Source organism: Homo sapiens, chromosome 6, assembly GCF_000001405.40.
Source record: "Homo sapiens chromosome 6, GRCh38.p14 Primary Assembly".
Classification (NCBI taxonomy): domain Eukaryota; kingdom Metazoa; phylum Chordata; class Mammalia; order Primates; family Hominidae; genus Homo; species Homo sapiens.
Genome location: NC_000006.12, coordinates 167,111,795 through 167,128,662, shown reverse-complemented (window position 1 = coordinate 167,128,662; position 16,868 = coordinate 167,111,795). Strand labels below are relative to the sequence as shown.

General features: G+C 46.5%; 1 protein-coding gene and 1 long non-coding RNA gene across 4 annotated transcripts in view, besides 3 other annotated features; one reads left to right on the top strand and one right to left on the bottom strand.

Annotated features, from left to right (window-relative positions):
• CCR6 (C-C motif chemokine receptor 6) overlaps positions 1 to 16,868 on the bottom strand; it is a 27,347-nt gene extending 10,479 nt beyond the window's left edge. The window contains exons 1-2 of one of the 3 annotated variants that reach the window (NM_001394582.1): positions 5,831 to 5,910; positions 5,440 to 5,544 (exon numbers count right to left, since the gene is read on the bottom strand). The gene's annotated coding sequence lies outside the window, so the exon portion shown is untranslated. Of the gene's footprint in view, positions 1 to 5,439; positions 5,568 to 5,830; positions 5,911 to 16,648 lie in introns of those variants that run through there. The other 2 variants (NM_004367.6, NM_031409.4) reach the window with 2 other exon arrangements.
• LOC107986672 (uncharacterized) lies at positions 1,336 to 2,358 on the top strand. Its single transcript, XR_001744470.2, has 2 exons — positions 1,336 to 1,514; positions 2,018 to 2,358. It is a non-coding gene; the product is annotated as an uncharacterized LOC107986672 (long non-coding RNA).
• Positions 9,158 to 9,658: an enhancer, noted in NCBI's record as "H3K4me1 hESC enhancer chr6:167532493-167532993 (GRCh37/hg19 assembly coordinates)". NCBI's record gives its function as "activates a minimal SCP1, AML or CMV promoter by ChIP-STARR-seq in naive H9 embryonic stem cells {active_cell/tissue: H9 hESC(naive)}" and the evidence as "EXISTENCE:reporter gene assay evidence [ECO:0000049][PMID:30033119]".
• Positions 14,127 to 14,276: an enhancer, noted in NCBI's record as "active region_25455". NCBI's record gives its function as "activates an Ori minimal core promoter by ATAC-STARR-seq in GM12878 lymphoblastoid cells {active_cell/tissue: GM12878}" and the evidence as "EXISTENCE:reporter gene assay evidence [ECO:0000049][PMID:35858748]".
• Positions 15,137 to 15,276: an enhancer, noted in NCBI's record as "active region_25454". NCBI's record gives its function as "activates an Ori minimal core promoter by ATAC-STARR-seq in GM12878 lymphoblastoid cells {active_cell/tissue: GM12878}" and the evidence as "EXISTENCE:reporter gene assay evidence [ECO:0000049][PMID:35858748]".

The following is a 16,868-nucleotide window of genomic DNA, read 5'->3' as shown; positions in this document are numbered from 1 at the left end:
GAGACAGAGTTTGCAGAGAGCTGAGATTGTGCCACTGCACTCCAGCCTGGGTGACAGAGCAAGACTCCGTCTCAAAAATAAAAAATAAAAATACAAAAATAAATAAGCAACTACACAGATATAAGATGAAAGTGCAGCAGCAGCAAAAATCTTAAGAATTTTATTTGCTAGTAATCTCACCAAGAGGCTAGTTAATCAGTACTATGTGGGCGCAGACATCCAGCCAGCTGGAAAGCCAGCCAGCTCTGCTCACCTCTGGGTACTCTCCACCGTGGTCACTAAGGCTTTCCAACCCAATAATAGATAGAGCGCGGAGGCACCGGACACAGGGGACAGCACTTGTCGGCAGAATCATGGCCCCATGTCACGCTTGTGGTTAGCGGAATCATGGCCCCCTGCCCAGGCCCTGACACAGGCACCAGAACCTGTGTACGTGTTGCCTTACACAGCAAAAGGGATTTTGCATATGCAATGAAGTCAAAGATCTAAGGGCCTGGAGGTAAGCAGAGATCATGCTGGATTATCTAGTTGGACCCACTGCAATCACGAGTCCCTAGAGGTGAAGAGTCCTTCTCCCTGGAGACGGGAGAAGAAAAGATTCAAAGGTGAGAGATTCAATGTATTGTTGCTGGAGTTGCAGACAGAAGAGGGGGCCACAAGCCGAGCCATGTGGTTGCCCTGAGAAGCTAAAAAGGCCCTCTGCTGACAGCCAACGTGAATATGAGGATCTCAGTCCTACAGTCACAAAGAACTGAACTCTGCCCATGACTGGATTGGGCGAGGACCAGATCTCCTTGTAAACATGCAAATAGTACTTACTAGTGGAAAGAAGCCTGGGAACCCCTATCTAAAAGCACAGAATAGCTGGGCACAGTGGCTCACACCTGTAATCGCAGAACCTTGGGAGGCTGAGGTGGGTGGATCACTTGAGGCCAGGAGTTTGAGAACAGCCCAGCCAACATGGGATGCATCTCTCTGCCTAGTGTTTTTGTTATTGAATCATTAGTAAAGTTTGACATTAGGTAAGATCTATAGATCCTATGGATGTCTGCTTTGAAGATTCAAATCCTTGCATTAACACAATCTCTGTATTATTCTAATGCATACTTCAATTTAGGAGCTGTTTCTTCTTAGGGAATTCATGCATCCAGCATCTAAAAGTGAGTTCCAAGAGATGCTCTGGGTAAAAAGAAGGGAGGGAGACAGACAGGGGTGGGAAATGATTTCTCTGTGGCTAGTATATTAAGACATTAATAAGATGCTAACTACATCCTTCCCTAGTTTATTCCTATTAGAGCTTGTTTATCAGTGGCCCTTCAGAGCCCTGCTGGAATAACTCACTATTTCCCAAACCTTCTCACTCACAGAACCTTTTCAGTTCCTGTTCTTTGGAAACACTTTGGGAAATTTTTGAGGCCAGGAGTTCCAAGCTGCAGTGTGTGATTATCGTGTCTGTGAATGGCCACGGCACTCCAGCCTGGGCAACATAGCAAGACCTCATCTCTTTAAAAAAGGTAGTTTATTTATATGATGATATAAATCATATAATCTGACTATATAATCTATATAATTATAGATGTATGATTATATAAACCATATGATCAATAAGTTGACTGTATTAGTCCGTTCTCACACTGCTAATAAAGACATACTTGAGACTGAGTAATTTATAAAGGAAAGAGGTTTAATTGACTCAGTTCAGCATGGCTGGGGAGGCCTCAGGAAACTGACAATCATGTCAGAAGGGGAAGCAAACACATCCTTCTTCACATGATGGCAGGAAGGAGAAGAATGAGTGCCCAGCGAAGAGGGAAGCCCCCTGTAAAACCATCAGATCCCGTGAGAACTCACTCACTATCACGAGAACAGGATACTGCCCCATGATTCAATTATCTCCACCTGGTCCCTCCCACCACACGTGGGGATTATGGGAACTGCAATTCAAGATGAGATTTGGATGGGGACACAGCCAAAGAATATCACTAACCTAGAGGACTCTTCATTCATTCATCCAAAGACAGGTCTGAGCAGCTCCTAGGGGCCAATCCCTATTCGAGGCAACAGCAGAGGGAAGACAAGAAGATGGCTACATGCACCCACCACCTGACTGCAGCAGCTCACAGGCCCCCCAGGGCTGGCATTGCCTGACCCAGGGAATGTGGCAAGGGGTGCCACCAAGGCAAACACAGGAGGAATCTTTAGACGGTGTGCTGGTCCCCACACCAGCCTCTGACTTGAAGTGCCTCCATTCCCCTAGCAAATGCATGAAACAAAAGTTGTGCAGGCCTCACGTCTGATTGATTCTCTTCTCTTTGTGGACATACGTTAGACTTAGAAATAAACTCGTATTAAAAGATATTTTTAATGGCTTTTTCTTCCCTTACTTAGAGGCAAATAATGATAAGCTATACTTCAGTATGTATTTTAGGCTTGAAATCATATAAATAAACTACCTTTTTTTAGAGATGGGGTCTTGCTATGTTGCCCAGGCTATAGTGCAGTGGCCATTCACAGGCACGATAATAGCACACTGCAGCCTCAAACTCCTGGCCTCAAGCTATCCTACCATCTCAGCCTCTAGAGTAGCTGGGACTACAAGCCACCACCCTACTCTTTTAAATGAAATGCAAATGTACTAGGATCTCATGAAGATTAAATATATGCACATGGTAAGTAATAACTTAGCCTCTGAATTTCAATTTTAACATTTCAAAGATCTTGTTATCACACATGTTTAAAACTGTTACTTTAATAAAAACTTAATTCCAGAATAATATTTCTTACATAGCATTTAAAATGTTCAATTTTTTTTGCAATTTTTATTGCAATAAAGTAATGTGGCTTCCTAGTACAACTTTTATTAGGTACAATATGCAATAGAGTATCTCAGAAAGTAATAATTAATTGGCTAATTCATTTAGAAATGAAAAGAACACCTAATTATACATTCTGCTAAAAAGCAGAACCAGAAGAAAGAGGGAGGGGCTGCCCTCACTATAGGATTTAAGGCCGTGTTCAGTTCTCCAAACACAGCCACACTCATCTCCCCCCGGCCTTCAACGGTGCCTCTACCTTAGAGAAAACCATGTTTTTGGACTTGAGGGCATTGGGAGTCCTCTAATCACAGGCAAATGGCCCCAGAAGAGGTGGGTAGCCACAGCACACACTCTCAGGGAGACCAATACTGGCTGGCTCTGTGGTGGTAGCAAAGAGGGAAGGCCGGTGAGAGCTGTGGGTGGGGGGCTCCCCAAGAAGAGCAGGGGTTGGGGGGACCAAGCAACAGACCGACTGCCATTGATCATCCCTTTGGCCAAGGACAGACTCTGTCCAAGAAAATTCAATATGGGGAAAACATTAGTAATAGTTATGAAAATATTACTGGTAATAAAAACTGTGTGGACTTGTAATTTAAAAACATTTAATAACTAGCTTAACAATGTGTTACAATTGTCAGACAGTTTTAAATTTGTGCTTACTTTCATAAATAGTAGTGGCCCTGCAAAACAAGGAGCAAGAACTAAATAAGAGTATGTGTGTGTGTGTGCATATGTCGGTGTGTGTGTATGTATGTGTCTAGGCATGTGTGCATGTGTGCAGTGTGCATATGCCTGCATATATACACCTGTTTATATCATGTATGTGTATATGCATGTGTATGCATGTGTGTATATAGGTGTGCACATGTGTGTATACATGTGTATGTGTGTATTTGCATGTGTGTGCATGGGTGTATATTGGTGCCTGCATGTATACATACATGTGTGTATGCATGCATGTGTGTGCAGTATGTGTATAACTGTGTGTGTGTACATATGGACGTGTGTGTATGTATATATGCACGCATATGTGTGTGTGTGTGTGTGCGCGCATATGCTGTAAATTAAGTTCTAGTTACCTGCTAGGCATTAGAATCACTGGTTTACAGCTGTTTATCTCTTTTAACCTCACAAAACCCTTTAAGGTAGACATCATACCCATTTTACAGATAGCGAGTGTAGCTCATCTAGGACTGTGAGTACTGGTGAGACTCCCATTACTGTCTCTTACTCGCCGTTCTAATTCACCTTGCCACCAGCAGGTCTTAGTGAAATGCCATAGAATTCCCACAAGATCTTAAATAATATATTTATTTTAAAACATCTTATTGATATCAGAGTTTTGCATACTGTAATGGTAGGTGTTCAATACATTTATGTTCTCTAAGTTTATTTGAATCATGGGCCCACCATATTTTATACCTTTTTAGATAAGCATCAGTGGAGCTGAAACTCTAGGCTGGCTTCCTTCTGCTTTTGAATGAGAGTGGCTAAGGAGGAGACCAGGAGGTTTGATTTTTTTTTTGTTTTCCCCCGGTGATTTGTTTATTAAGCTTCTGTGGGTTGGTTTTTTTTTTTTTTCAGTTCCTTTAATTTCTTTGGAAGTTTGCTTTTATGTTTTCTGTTTTATTTGCAGAAATTACATCTTTAACCATTTAAAGAATAGCTTTAGTTATGGCCTTGCATTTTTGTTTTTCTTTATAAAGCTGATCTCTACAATATCTATGTCCTGCTGCTAAGTGGACTTTGGAGCTGATCTCCGGCTGGAGTGCAGTAGCGTGATCTCGGCTCACTGCAACCTCCGCCTCCCAAGTTCCAGTGATTCTCCTGCCTCAGCCTCCCAAGTAGCTGGGATTACAGGCACATGCCACAATGCCTGGCTAATTTTTGTATTTTTAGTAGAGACGGGATTTTACCATGTTGGCCAGGCTGGTCTCGAACTCCTGACCTCAGCTGATACACCCAGCTTGGTCTCCCAAAGTGCTGAGATTACAGGTATGAGCCACTGCACCTAGCCTGGCTCCCTTTAATATCATTGTGTATTATTTTCTGGTCATAAGATACTGCCTTCATAATCACAGTGGCATTGGCAGCCCTCATGAGAGCTTTGCAACTGAGACTTGTTGAAATTTCCACCTTGTCAATTTCTCTTAACTCCCCCTCACAAGCTCCTTCCTGCTCAATCTTAGGCTGTCCGGGATGCCCACTCATCAGCCTTCATTGCATAAATGACTTACTGCCTCCAAAATATTTCTTAGCTTAATTTTTTTGTTTTCCAAAATCTTTCAGTGTATTTGATCAAATAAAGAATCACATTCCTCTCCAGACTGATGCCCTGAGGATATCTCCTGTATGAGGAGCAAGTACCCAGACCATCACCGAAGCTCCAGTGCAGGGAGCGAGTATGAAATCCCTTACTATACACTTAGAGGAAAAGTGGGCTTCCTAAAACCATAAAGTCAATGCTTTCAGGAAAGGAAGTCTGTGTCGTTAAGCATAAACATGGTCAATATGCCAGCATTCTGGAAGATTAATGAGTAAAACAGTCCCATTCCTGTCAGACTAGGGGATCAAAGAAGTTACATTTTTGAAAGAAAAGTCTCAGGGGCCTTGGCATGCTCACCTCAGGCAGTGCTCTGATCCACTCCCTTCAGCCTCACTCCGGGCCCCACAATCTGATGACTCCAGCTCACCAATGTGATGACCATCTGTCAATAAGATGCAGCTTCTAGCAGTCATTAAGAAAAAAGCGGTGAGCTACTAGAATTGCCCAAAAGCAAGTTCTGGATTGCCACTTCCTATTGAAAAGTAACGCCTATTTGCCCAAATGCAAATGGTTAACCATGTATATCCTGTAGGGTATTGAGTAATCGTAGGATCCCTGGAATCAAAGTCCAACCAATGGTAAAGTGATAAGAAAAAGAGAGGCATTGAACTCCCCAGAGGAAGACAGCCTTTGCATGGTTTTCAATTTGCAGCAATGAGTTTGTACCCAAACTTTCATACTCCTTTACCTGGTTATCTCCTGGGAGCAAGGAGTCTCTGCAAGCCGACTGGGAAGATTTGGGAACGTTTGCAAGAGGCCGTGTGAGTTAAAGACATGGGCCGGGAGCACTTTTGTGTGGAGTCAGTCAGTCCTGGCCCCACCCCGAAAGCTGTGCAGCCACAGAAGGGCCACTGAGCCCCAGCAAGCCTCGGTTTCCTCTTTCAGAAGAAAGACCATGACAGCTCTAACCTCAGAGGGTTCCGAGAAATAGCCATGCCCGTCCACGGAAGCCGAGGAGCAGCGCCTGAAGGAGAGGTGGTTCTCCATGCATCTCAGCTATTATTACAAGATACTTTGAGAGCAACAGAGGAGCTCCTCAATCAAAAGCGGGCACCTAATCTTCATGTGGCACAGAGACAGAATCTCTGGGTGACGATGCGGGTCACTGCCCTGTCTTTAGACATATCAAGGAAAGCAGCTGACGACAAGTCACTCAGAAATTTATTTGTAGATGCAAGTGCTTAAAAAATAGAAAAGAACCCTAGAATCACAAGGCTGTTCGCACCTGGGTTGCTGTGAACCACGTCTCAGGAAATAACAAAAGTTTTACAGACAATAGGTTCGTGATCAATTCTCAGCCAGCCTGATGGACTCACACTTTCTCCACTTCCCAGTGCACTGTGCCTCCCCACCCCCAGGCTGCCCACGAGGCTCCACTGCCCGCTGCCCAGCTCTGCTCTATCTTGACCACACCTCACCTGGGTCGCTCCTTCCTGCAGAGCCCTGAGCTCCACGTCCTCACGCCTGAGTGAGCCTGAGAAGCTGGAGCGCACCCCTTATCATCTCTCTGGGGAACCAGCTAGACACAGCAGGACCTGTGTCCTGCTCAACCCCACTGGCCATTTTCCCGGGTTTGTCCAGGGTCCCCTCCAAAGACTCTGCTGGCCCCAGTGGCTCCCCCTTACTGGATAAAAGAAGGGCCTTTTCTGTTTGAAGTGCTTGCAGACCTATGGTCACGGGGTCCTCTTGCTGCCATCATTCCTCTCCCTGCCTTACAACAATCCTTCCAAACAAAGCCTCTCCTGACTAAGTCCTGGCTGTTTTCCTCTAACAGAGCTCACAACTTCCTTCACTCTGGGTGACCTGTCCCTCCTCCATCTGAGAGAAGCCCTGGGGCGCTCCTCCCCAGTAGTTCACCCCAACCCGAAACCTGCTGATTATTGGATGGCGAACAAAGCAAGACCCTCCCCTCTGCTCTTACGACCCCTCCCCTGCTACCTCAGCTCCATCCCCTCCTCCTCATTTCTACCATCGCCCCTGAGGCTTCTGCTTCCTGTAGAAGGGCTGCCCATAGGAGGAAGAAACAGGCCACCAGGTAACACACCCCTCCTGCGTTCTCAGGTGCCCTCTAACACTGCCCTTGGATGGTCTTGCTTAGCGTGAAGGTAAGAAAGTAAGCCCTTTTATAGATGATTAGCCCTGGCAATGCCTGCCTGGAAAGAAAAGAAAGAAAACGAAAAACAGATTGGACTTTGCTGGGGACCAAAAATGAACATTAATTAAGCAGAAATGTAACGTGTTGAACAAAACCGCGTTGTGTGGCCACGCAGATGCTGAGGGACCCAGGAGGCCCAATGACACCCCCTTCCTTGCAGAACAAAGAGATTCATGGCCACTGTGGGGGCCCCTTCTGTTAGACTGCACAGAGGCAGGGATCTGGAGGTCTCCAAGAGTGGCCTCCTCCCTGCAACACCCTCCCTGCCCCAGAGGGGAAGGTAGTGGATGGAGATTGAGACCCTGCTGCTGACTGGCTCCCAGCCTGGGCTGGTTGCCTTTACTTCGAGAGCTGAGGTGGAAGCTCCATATGGCACTGACCTCTGCAATGTTTCTCATGTCCTTTGCCCCATATTCCTTCTGTAGTTCCAAGTCAAATCTAAATTATATGTCACCCTGAGAAAGCTGAGACCTATTTGGTTTTTAGCTCTCTAAAAATGCCCCTATATTAAAGATCCTCTTAGATCTCACTCTTATTGAAACTTCCTCAAATTTAAAATCACACTGTTCATTTGCATAGACACTGTGAGGTGCATAAAAGGCGAGGAATGTGGCTTACAGTCACATGTTTCATAACAATAAGTTTCCAGGCAGAAAATTCCACAGCAACATCAGAAGTTCATTCCTAAGAAAAGCCAGGGACAGTTTGGTAAATTCAGATAACAGTCATAAGGAGTTGCTTTAAAACTCAACATTGAGGCATTTCTAGGAAAGCCATCTGCCTCTGGCTACAATCCTACAGAGGACACTGTGTACAGCTCAGAATGGGTCACCATGACCGTTTCTCCTTGTGATTGCCTTTAATTCACAAACAGGCTCTGCACACACTGGAGGCCATAGCACACACACTGGAGGCCATGGCACACCACTTTGTGGACATTGGTCATCTGGGTGTCAGTCATCTTTTGAAATTATCAGCAAAGTTGAAAAGATAGTAAATGCTTTGTTAACCCCTAAAGTAACACTCTGTATAAACTTTGAGGAAGTCAATATGGTGAGCTGGTTGGGAATTCTTGCTGAGATACCAGGCAGCAGCAGTGCACCACCTGCCGGCCACATGTGGGAGTCCCCCAGCCCAATCGAGCCTTCGGATGACATGGCTCCCACCCACTCTCTGATGGTACCTGCAGTGGAGGCCCCAACTGAGAAGCACTCAGCCGAGCCCAGTTGACCCCCAGAGCCACAAGAGATTGTAAATAAATCACTGTTAAAGCCACCATGACTCAAGGTGGTAGATAACTGGGGCAGTTTTCTACTCTCATTGTGCGCACAAAACTTCTGAAGTAATGAACATGTTTTTAAAAAACAAAACAAATTAAAATAAAAGCGTCATTTGTTGGTTTTTACAAAACCCTCCCCAGGAAAGCCTAGAGTTAGCACAGGTGCTGAGAGTGGAGGGACAGGAAGAAGAAACCTACAACAATGACAGCTGGCAGGCAGCCACAGGCTCACACCCATTGCAAAAACATAGACTACCGAGCCCAGCAGTGCTTGGATCTGTGTTATGTGGTTTGGATCTATATCTTTTTCTTCATAAAAAAGTTAAAAAAGGCTACTTAACAAATTACATCAGCAAATTCTCTAGTAGGGACAAAAACACATTTTATAGGAGGAAGTACAAGCTGTGCTGACACCTTGAATTTTGGAGTTTACGAAGATGTCAAATGGTGTATCCTTCAATGCTCACTGTATATGCTAATACATTTGGGCATGGGGAGTCACTCTGTGTTATTCTACCCCATAAAGTAGCTGGCCTGAAAATTACTCTCCCAAATAGCCAGGAGAACACCTGTTATAAATTATTTTTCAGATACGAATCATTTTTTCAGATAGTTACTATGTACAGCACACAAGCTACAGAAATAGTTAAAAGTATGCCATTTACTTCCCACCTTTTGGGAACTCATATAGTTGGAAAGTTGAGGCCTAAATACATGACAATACAAGCCACATGTGATATGCAGAGAGCCTACGTGTGACGGATCAGTGAAGAAATGCCACTGCGAGCGTCCAGTTCACAGGAGGGAGCACAGAGGAGCTCCTCCACCTCCAGCATCCTGGACTTCAGGCTCTTCGTGAAAGGCTGGGACTCAGCCAGGAAGGCGACTCAGATCTGACCAGGTAGGCAGGGGGAGGAAGGCAATTTGGGGACAAACAGCATGAGCCTGGGTGGGGAGGCAGAAAGGCACCGAGGTGGAGAGCAGTAAGGACAGGTGGGGGCACCAGCCCTCAGTGGGGAGCTGGGGAGGGTGGCTGCAGGACCGGAAGGCTGGCAGCAATACAAAGACACAGACGTCTGTGGGCCGTGGAGGGACAGGGAGCGAGTTTACGGTAGGGAGAAGAGCAGGTCACAGGGCAGGTGCACCCTCCTCCTGGCGGCAGCCCTGCCTGACATCACAGAGTAGAGAAGGGAGCCGGGACCAAGGGCGTCCAGCATGTGGGGCTGACCCTCGCCATTTCACCCATTCATTTTCATTAATCCTCACTAAAGGCCCAGGGGCCCTGGGGTTGTCATAGTCCTCCTCAAGTGACAGATGAGAAAACTGAAACTCAGAGGAAAAACGCAACTTCCTCAAGTTCATACACCAATAAGTTGAAGAGCCAATCTCAAAACCATGTCATCTGATCCAAAAGTTCATACCTTTCTGGGATACATGTGAAGAGAAAATGATGTGGGGAGATGTTTTGGAAAATATCAGTAAGGAACAAGCAAAAGGGGAATCAAGATGATGCCAAATTTTACATCGGGACAGAAATAGGGAAATCAAACTGAAAGCTTACTTTTTATTTACTAATTTATTTCTACGTAGAAGAACAGTTATAGAAACCGGTCTAAGAGGGAAGAAAATGGATGTCATTGAAGTACCTGGAATGTGAAGAGATTGATGTCTCGTGTAACTGAAAATTCTTGGAGATTCTTGACATGACTTTAGACTCATGTCAAGAATCGAAAGTCACTTTTCAAGTTAACCTCTAGATGTCTGTCTCCTAATCAATACACGAGGATTTTAGATTTGTAAATGATTCATGTGAAGATCGAAGACAAAGTTCATGCCTCACACAGCATTAGGTGCACAGTGGCAGCTTTGTAATTATGATTGTTGTCGTGGTGGTAGAGATGGGGGTGGAAGTTACCACTATTGAGTCATAAAGAGGGGGCTTAGCAAGAGATGCAGGAACGGTCTTGCATGGAGAGGTTGTAATTAAACCCAGAGACGCCGATGGAACTGCTGGGATGTTGGGCTCATGTTTACAAAGCAGAAGGACAGACTGAAGCTGGAAAAGTGACACTTCAGAAGTGGCCAGAGGATAGGTCCTAAAATATTAGTACAGTGTCTTTAAAGAAAAAAAAAAAAAAAAAACAGAAAAGTGCTTATAGGAAACCTGCAGAGTGAAGAATTTGAGCACTGAAAAGCGACCTGCGCGTTTCATCACTACTGTTCTCAGTGCTCTTTGAGACAAAATTTCTTTAAGAATGTCCAAGTGAGAGCTTAACTAAAGGGTTTAAGAAGGAAGAATACATTGAGGGAATAGAGACCACAGGGGTGGAAAACATTAAGGACTGACAGGGAGACTCAAAAAAGAAAATAGAGGCCGGGCGCGGTGGCTCACGCCTGTAATCCCAGCACTTTGGGAGGCTGAGACGGGCGGATCACGAGGTCAGGAGATCGAGACCATCCTGGCTGACACGGTGAAACCCCATCTCTACTAAAAATACAAAAATTAGCCGGGCGTGGTGGCGCGCGCCTGTAGTCCCAGCTACTCGGGAGGCTGAGGCAGGAGAATGGCGTGAACCCGGGAGGCGGAGCTTGCAGTGAGTCGAGATCGTGCCACTGCGCTCCAGCCTGGGCGACAGAGCGAAACTCCGTCTCAAAAAAAAAAAAAAAAAAAGAAAAAAAAAAAGAAAATAGAGTTCCGGTAAGCAGCAAACCCAGGAGACAGGTTATTTCCTTAACTGAAAACAAGCAGGTAACACCTTCCATTCCCTCAGCCCAGATCCCTCGAACACTCTTCTGACATAAGATGCAGCTGTGGTAGGCAGGATGCAGAGGCTGTGGTAGGGAGGGATGCGGGGACGGGGACGGTGGTAGGGAGGGATGCGGGGACGGTGGTGGGGAGGGATAAAGAGGCTGAGGTGGTCGCAGACGCAGCAGTATTCTTGGACACTTTCCATCTAAGCACCCTGAACTCTGGTTTTCTAAGGAGGCTTTGTGCTCAGCCCTCAGGAACAGCGCAGAAGTGGAGAGGAATCAGTGATGGATGATGGACAGCTCTCCCGCCACAGGAGGACGACAGGACTCACCCTCCACCCACCGCGGGAGGGGAGGGAACCCTCACCCACGGGACGGGTCATCTCCTGCAGCATTATCTTCCTGGCTCTTCCTGTTGGACTCCCAGGATTAGGGGGCCAACCCTCCCAGTTTTCCAGAGACTTCCCGGAAAGTAGAAACGTCTGTGCTAAAATCAGGACAGTGCTGCCACAGCAGGAAGAGCAGCCACTCTGGGCCTAACGGATGTGCAGGCGTCCGGGACTGGGAGGCGGTCGCCCTTCTCCTCTGCAATGGTTAGGGTACCCCTGGGTGCCTCTCTGCTAGGGGGTGGCATAGGCGGGAAGCCCTGACACCTGAGAAAGCAAGAGGGCCACTGGAAATGAGGGGCGGGGTGCAGCGGAAGGCCGAGGGGGCGGCTGCCGTCAGTATGTGAAGGGTGCCTGCAGGGAGAAAGAGCAGCTCTACTCTCAGTTGAAGCAAAAGGAAAACTTTGGCCAAAAGCCATGCAGGTGGGAGGAGGTGGCTTGGGCTGGGAGAAGGGAGGACACATTTCCCCGCAGGGATCTGCCGCGCTGTGGGCTGAGAGGAGGGCCTCAGAGAAAGGCCCAGCTGCCTCCTGTGCTGGAAAGGGTGTCAAGCCAGAAAGGTCAATTTGATCTAAAACAGAAAGCGTCGGGGGTGCTGGAGAGAGAGAATTCCCAAGAGGGAGCGAGGGCGGGGAGGCCCCGGTGAAAGACTCCAGAGGCTCTGGAGAGTTCGGGAAGGAGACAGCAGCATAAGAAAGCGCTCCTTCTGGCTCCAGCACAACCTCTGGAATGTTCTCCAGAGACAGAGCCAGGAGTTCCGCATTCTCTCTCGTGATCTCTTCTTGCAGTTGGACCCTGGAGCTTTTCAAGAAAGAAGACACAACAATAACGCCCATCCACGCCTGCTGGTGTGCTCCCTCCTGGCGGCAGCCACGGCTTCAGAAATGAATTCCACCTAACCAGTAGTCATTCGCTTTATAACGCCTGCGGATCTTTGAACTAGGAGGAAAATGGGGAGCTTTTCATAGCATCCCCTTTGAAAAATCTTCTTTGAGGTCTCAAATTTAAACTTCCAACCCTGACCATGACATTATAGATACAGCCTCAGTTTTGCAAAATTTTAGCAATAAAAGTGAGAAACTGACACAAGTATGAGAAGAGACATGAAAATCATAATGGTGTTTGTATAAGGAGGTAGAAATATAAGAAATGTAATTATTAAAAAATTCTCTTTGTACTTTCATTTAATAACAAAATAAGTTGGTTGCATAATGAAACAGAATTTCTAAGAAAAGCAAAAGGACTAATTATAGTGACTATTATGGATATCACTAATTTTCACTGCTGGAAAAATAACACCTTCTAGACGTTTCCAGATAAACTGTTGTGTGAGTGCTGCCATAGTCACAATTTCTTTCTGTGTTAGTTTCCAGAACAGTGGACAATACTATTTTGCTTCAAGTCAGATACAGAAAATGGGGAAAAGACACTAGGTTTTTGGACAAGGCACCCTGCTTAAACACCAGGAATGTGGAAAAAGAGGTATTGTTGAACCAACAAGATTTTTATGATGAATGAAATAGCTCTCAGCAGCTCTAAAACCGACTTCCAGCAGAATCAGTTTTCCTCTGACTTACTTAAAAATCTCCCAATCATATTCCGCAAAGGCATAATTGACTGCCAGAAAGGACAGGTCTGCTCACAGAATGAGGACCACAGAAAGCCTCTCTCGCCCTTCTGCAACATCTAGAGGGCGCTGGGCGCTGGGGTCTGGCTGGCACACTCTCTGACCCAGCAGCCAACTGCGGGGTGGACCAGTGAGACCCCCATCCAGTGTCTGAGGAGTGGGCAGCACAGCCCCCATTAGCCCGCCGCTGTCTTGGCGATGTATGTCGGAGGAGACAGATTCTTTACAGAACCTGAAGACTCATTCTGACAAAAAGACCAAAGGAAAATGACTGATTTTATTACGTAGTCATTTAATTACACTCACAAGGCTGATTTTTTGATTTACTAAAACATCTGTTTGTCTACCAGAAAGAGATCTGAAAGCCACATTCTTTTTAGGTTGGGGATCTCCTATCAAATGATCTTGCCATTGGATAATCACACAGATTTATGTGTCTAAAACCTCCTCCCTTGGATCTGTGAAGACATCCTCACCTCAGGTCCTCACTGGATGCAGAGCTAAGGACGGGGCCTCCCCTGGGATTTACAGCACTGCTCGGTGACCCAGATTCAGAGTGCTAATTTCCATTTCTGTCTGCCGGGAACAGCCTCACTGACTTATAAACTGCTACAGAAATGAAAAAGGGTGACGTGTGCACGGTGACGTCAGAGCCACAGGCTGGTTACAGCAGCCGTCACAGCAGGCCTCGGCCAGGGGGCTCTGCATAGAGAAGGGGGCCCTGCTCATCTCCGTGCCAGGGTTTGAAATTTAGGCCACTCAATGGCAGTAACCCCTCCGAAATATGAAGTGATGCCTCTGGACTGGGGTTTCCTATGCCTGGAAGAAGGGTTTCCAAGTGCACTGTGATTATGAATTGCCTCTCCTTGGGGTTCAAATGTAGGTTCTGGGTGGATAGACCAGGGCTGGGTCCTGCGGTCCTGTGATTCTGAACTCCTCTCGAGGTCTACCACTGCTCAGAAGACCACCTGGGAGCAGGAGGGAGCTAGACCGTCTCAGCTAAGTCACGTGATTTATAACCCATCAAACCACCATCTCCACCAGCCCCTAGGATTTCAGGCAGCTTGTGTGGCAGGAGGTGGGGACAGCACAGGGAGGATGACGTCCTCATGACATAAGCCCGATCAAGGGAAGGTGAGGAGGGAGAGGCAGAAGCTGCCGGAGAGTCCTCCTACACCCAGCTCTAGGTCATGCGCCGGCTGCCGAAGGGCCCTGCTTTGCATCTTGATCCTGTCTGCTGCGATGCGGTTGTCAGAGCCCAGAGCCGTGTCTGTCACGGTTGTGTGACCTGGTCCACCCACCCTGCCCTAACGATCTCTGCTCATAAGATCTCATGTCTATTTTATCCTGGAACCTCTTCCTTGCCCTGCCCTTTTTCCTTTCTTTGTTCCATTTTCCCTTTCTTCATCTATCCATCTTCTCATTCTACCCCCCAAAATAGGAGTGCTTTAAAAAGTAAAGAGGAATGCATGTCTTGCCTAGATGCCCCATCCTCTCTAACGCAGTCATCTGAACGCTGAAGGATGCGCTGCATATTTACTGTATTTTACTCAGCAACACAGCAATGTCCAACCAACATTTTGGTCTTGGGGAAGCCTATTCCAAATTAATTTTCAACTAATCATTTTAAACATTTAAAACTTGGGATCTGATGGGTGAAAATATTGCTAAGACATGTGATGAGATTTCTGGCTGTCTCCAGGGGAGCTGGGCGTCGTCCAACCCTGCCTGGGCCCCATTCGTGGAGCCGCTGGGGACGTGTGCTTTCTCATCTGCAGCAGCACACCAAATTCCACACTGAGATCCTTCCAATACTTGGAACTACAGTATCTGCTTCCGCATTAAATGGGCCCATGTGAGGTCTACTGAGTTGCCCTCTCTGTGTTTTGGGGTTCTTCCAGCCCACCTCTTGACTGCACCTGGCTGTCTGCCATTCCTCATCACTTCCAGCGTGCCTGACTCCAGCAGGTGACATTCCCACTGAATGTGCTGCTTCCAATAAGCTCTGGGCTGGGAAACCAAACAGCCCCCCCTTATCAGAACTGTGCCTAAAATAAGAGCCAGTGTATCTGAATGTGCACCTGAGGGTCTCCCCTGGGAGAAAAACACACCAAGTTTGGGTACAGGCTTCGTGGTATCTATTTTGGTGCAGAGTCTCTTTGGGTTCATTTCCTCTTTCTCAGGCTGCCTTAGAGGTTGATATTATTAGATAAGAGAGCTCCAGGTAAGTCAGGCCTCAGAGGGTTCAGATGTTTAATTAGAGAAGACATAATGCAAAATTACAACAAGTGCATCCGAGATTGTTATACAAATGGAATCGCAGTATTGTTAAATGACATAAATGCATTCACCCACAACACAGTGAAACTGATTGTCACTGGTTTATCACTTTCACTTGGGAGACAATGCTATCACTAGAACTCCTTCTGATGCATTGCAGCATCAAGAATTCTCTTGAAGCAGACCCATCAGTGTATCCAGAGACACACGTTCCAGACACATCTGTGTATTCCACGAGGCTGGCTCTGGGCTTCTCTGTGTCTCCCCCACCTCACCCCATCCCACCTTCGTCAGCACGCTGTGGCTCTTTCCTCCCTCCTGGGATGTCCTTCTCACCTGTGATGCCGCCTGCTGCCCTTGTTCATCCCAACCTCCCTGCACAAAGCCAGCCCCTCCACCGAGCCTCATTCATGTTAGATCCACCAGCACCCCCCATTCTGCAGCAGCCACAGCCCCCAGGGTGAGAAGTTTGGGAGACATGTTCCATTTTGGTCTGTGGGATCTGCATTTCTTCCTTATAGTTATGGCTCATAGAGATGACTGCTCTTTCAAAGGTGGTTGTGGTCTATTAGAGCGTTTCCAATGTCCCCATACTTCTTTCTCGAGTGCTAGTCAAAAGCGACTTGCAGATGGTATGGAATGTCTTTGTGAGATAGAAAGAACACAGACTAGGATCAGAAAAATCTGCCTCCCAACCCTCCATGGCCATCTTCTGGCTGTGTGACTTTACCGCCCTAACTCTTTAAAATAGCCCCACACCTACCTGCCAGGATTGTCTTCAGAATTACATAAAATAACACATACCAAAGTCTCTAGAATAGAGCATGTCACATAATAGACTCAACAAAGGTCAGCATCTCTTCTTTCTTTTTGGGATGACTAAAGTAGCCTAAATAAATAAGTATTCGCAATGCATGACTTGATAACATAAACTTTTGTAATACTCTATTACCTCCAAAGCATAAAACAATTATTGAGACAAAAGAAATACAATATTTTCTAAGTTCCAAGACAAAAAAAAAACTTACCAATAAAGAAGGAGCTGTCTGTTCCACAAACCAACAGCCACAGTTTTTTCTCTTAAATGTCAGACTTTGAAAAGGTTGACATTTCTGTTCACCAGCATATACACGTGGGCCCTCTCTTACTGATGACCACAGAGTCCTGGGGACCTTCCTGTGCTCCCAGCCCAGCTCTCCTCTCCGGCCACACTGCTGCCTCCTTCACCCATACACTGGGTGGTGTGCT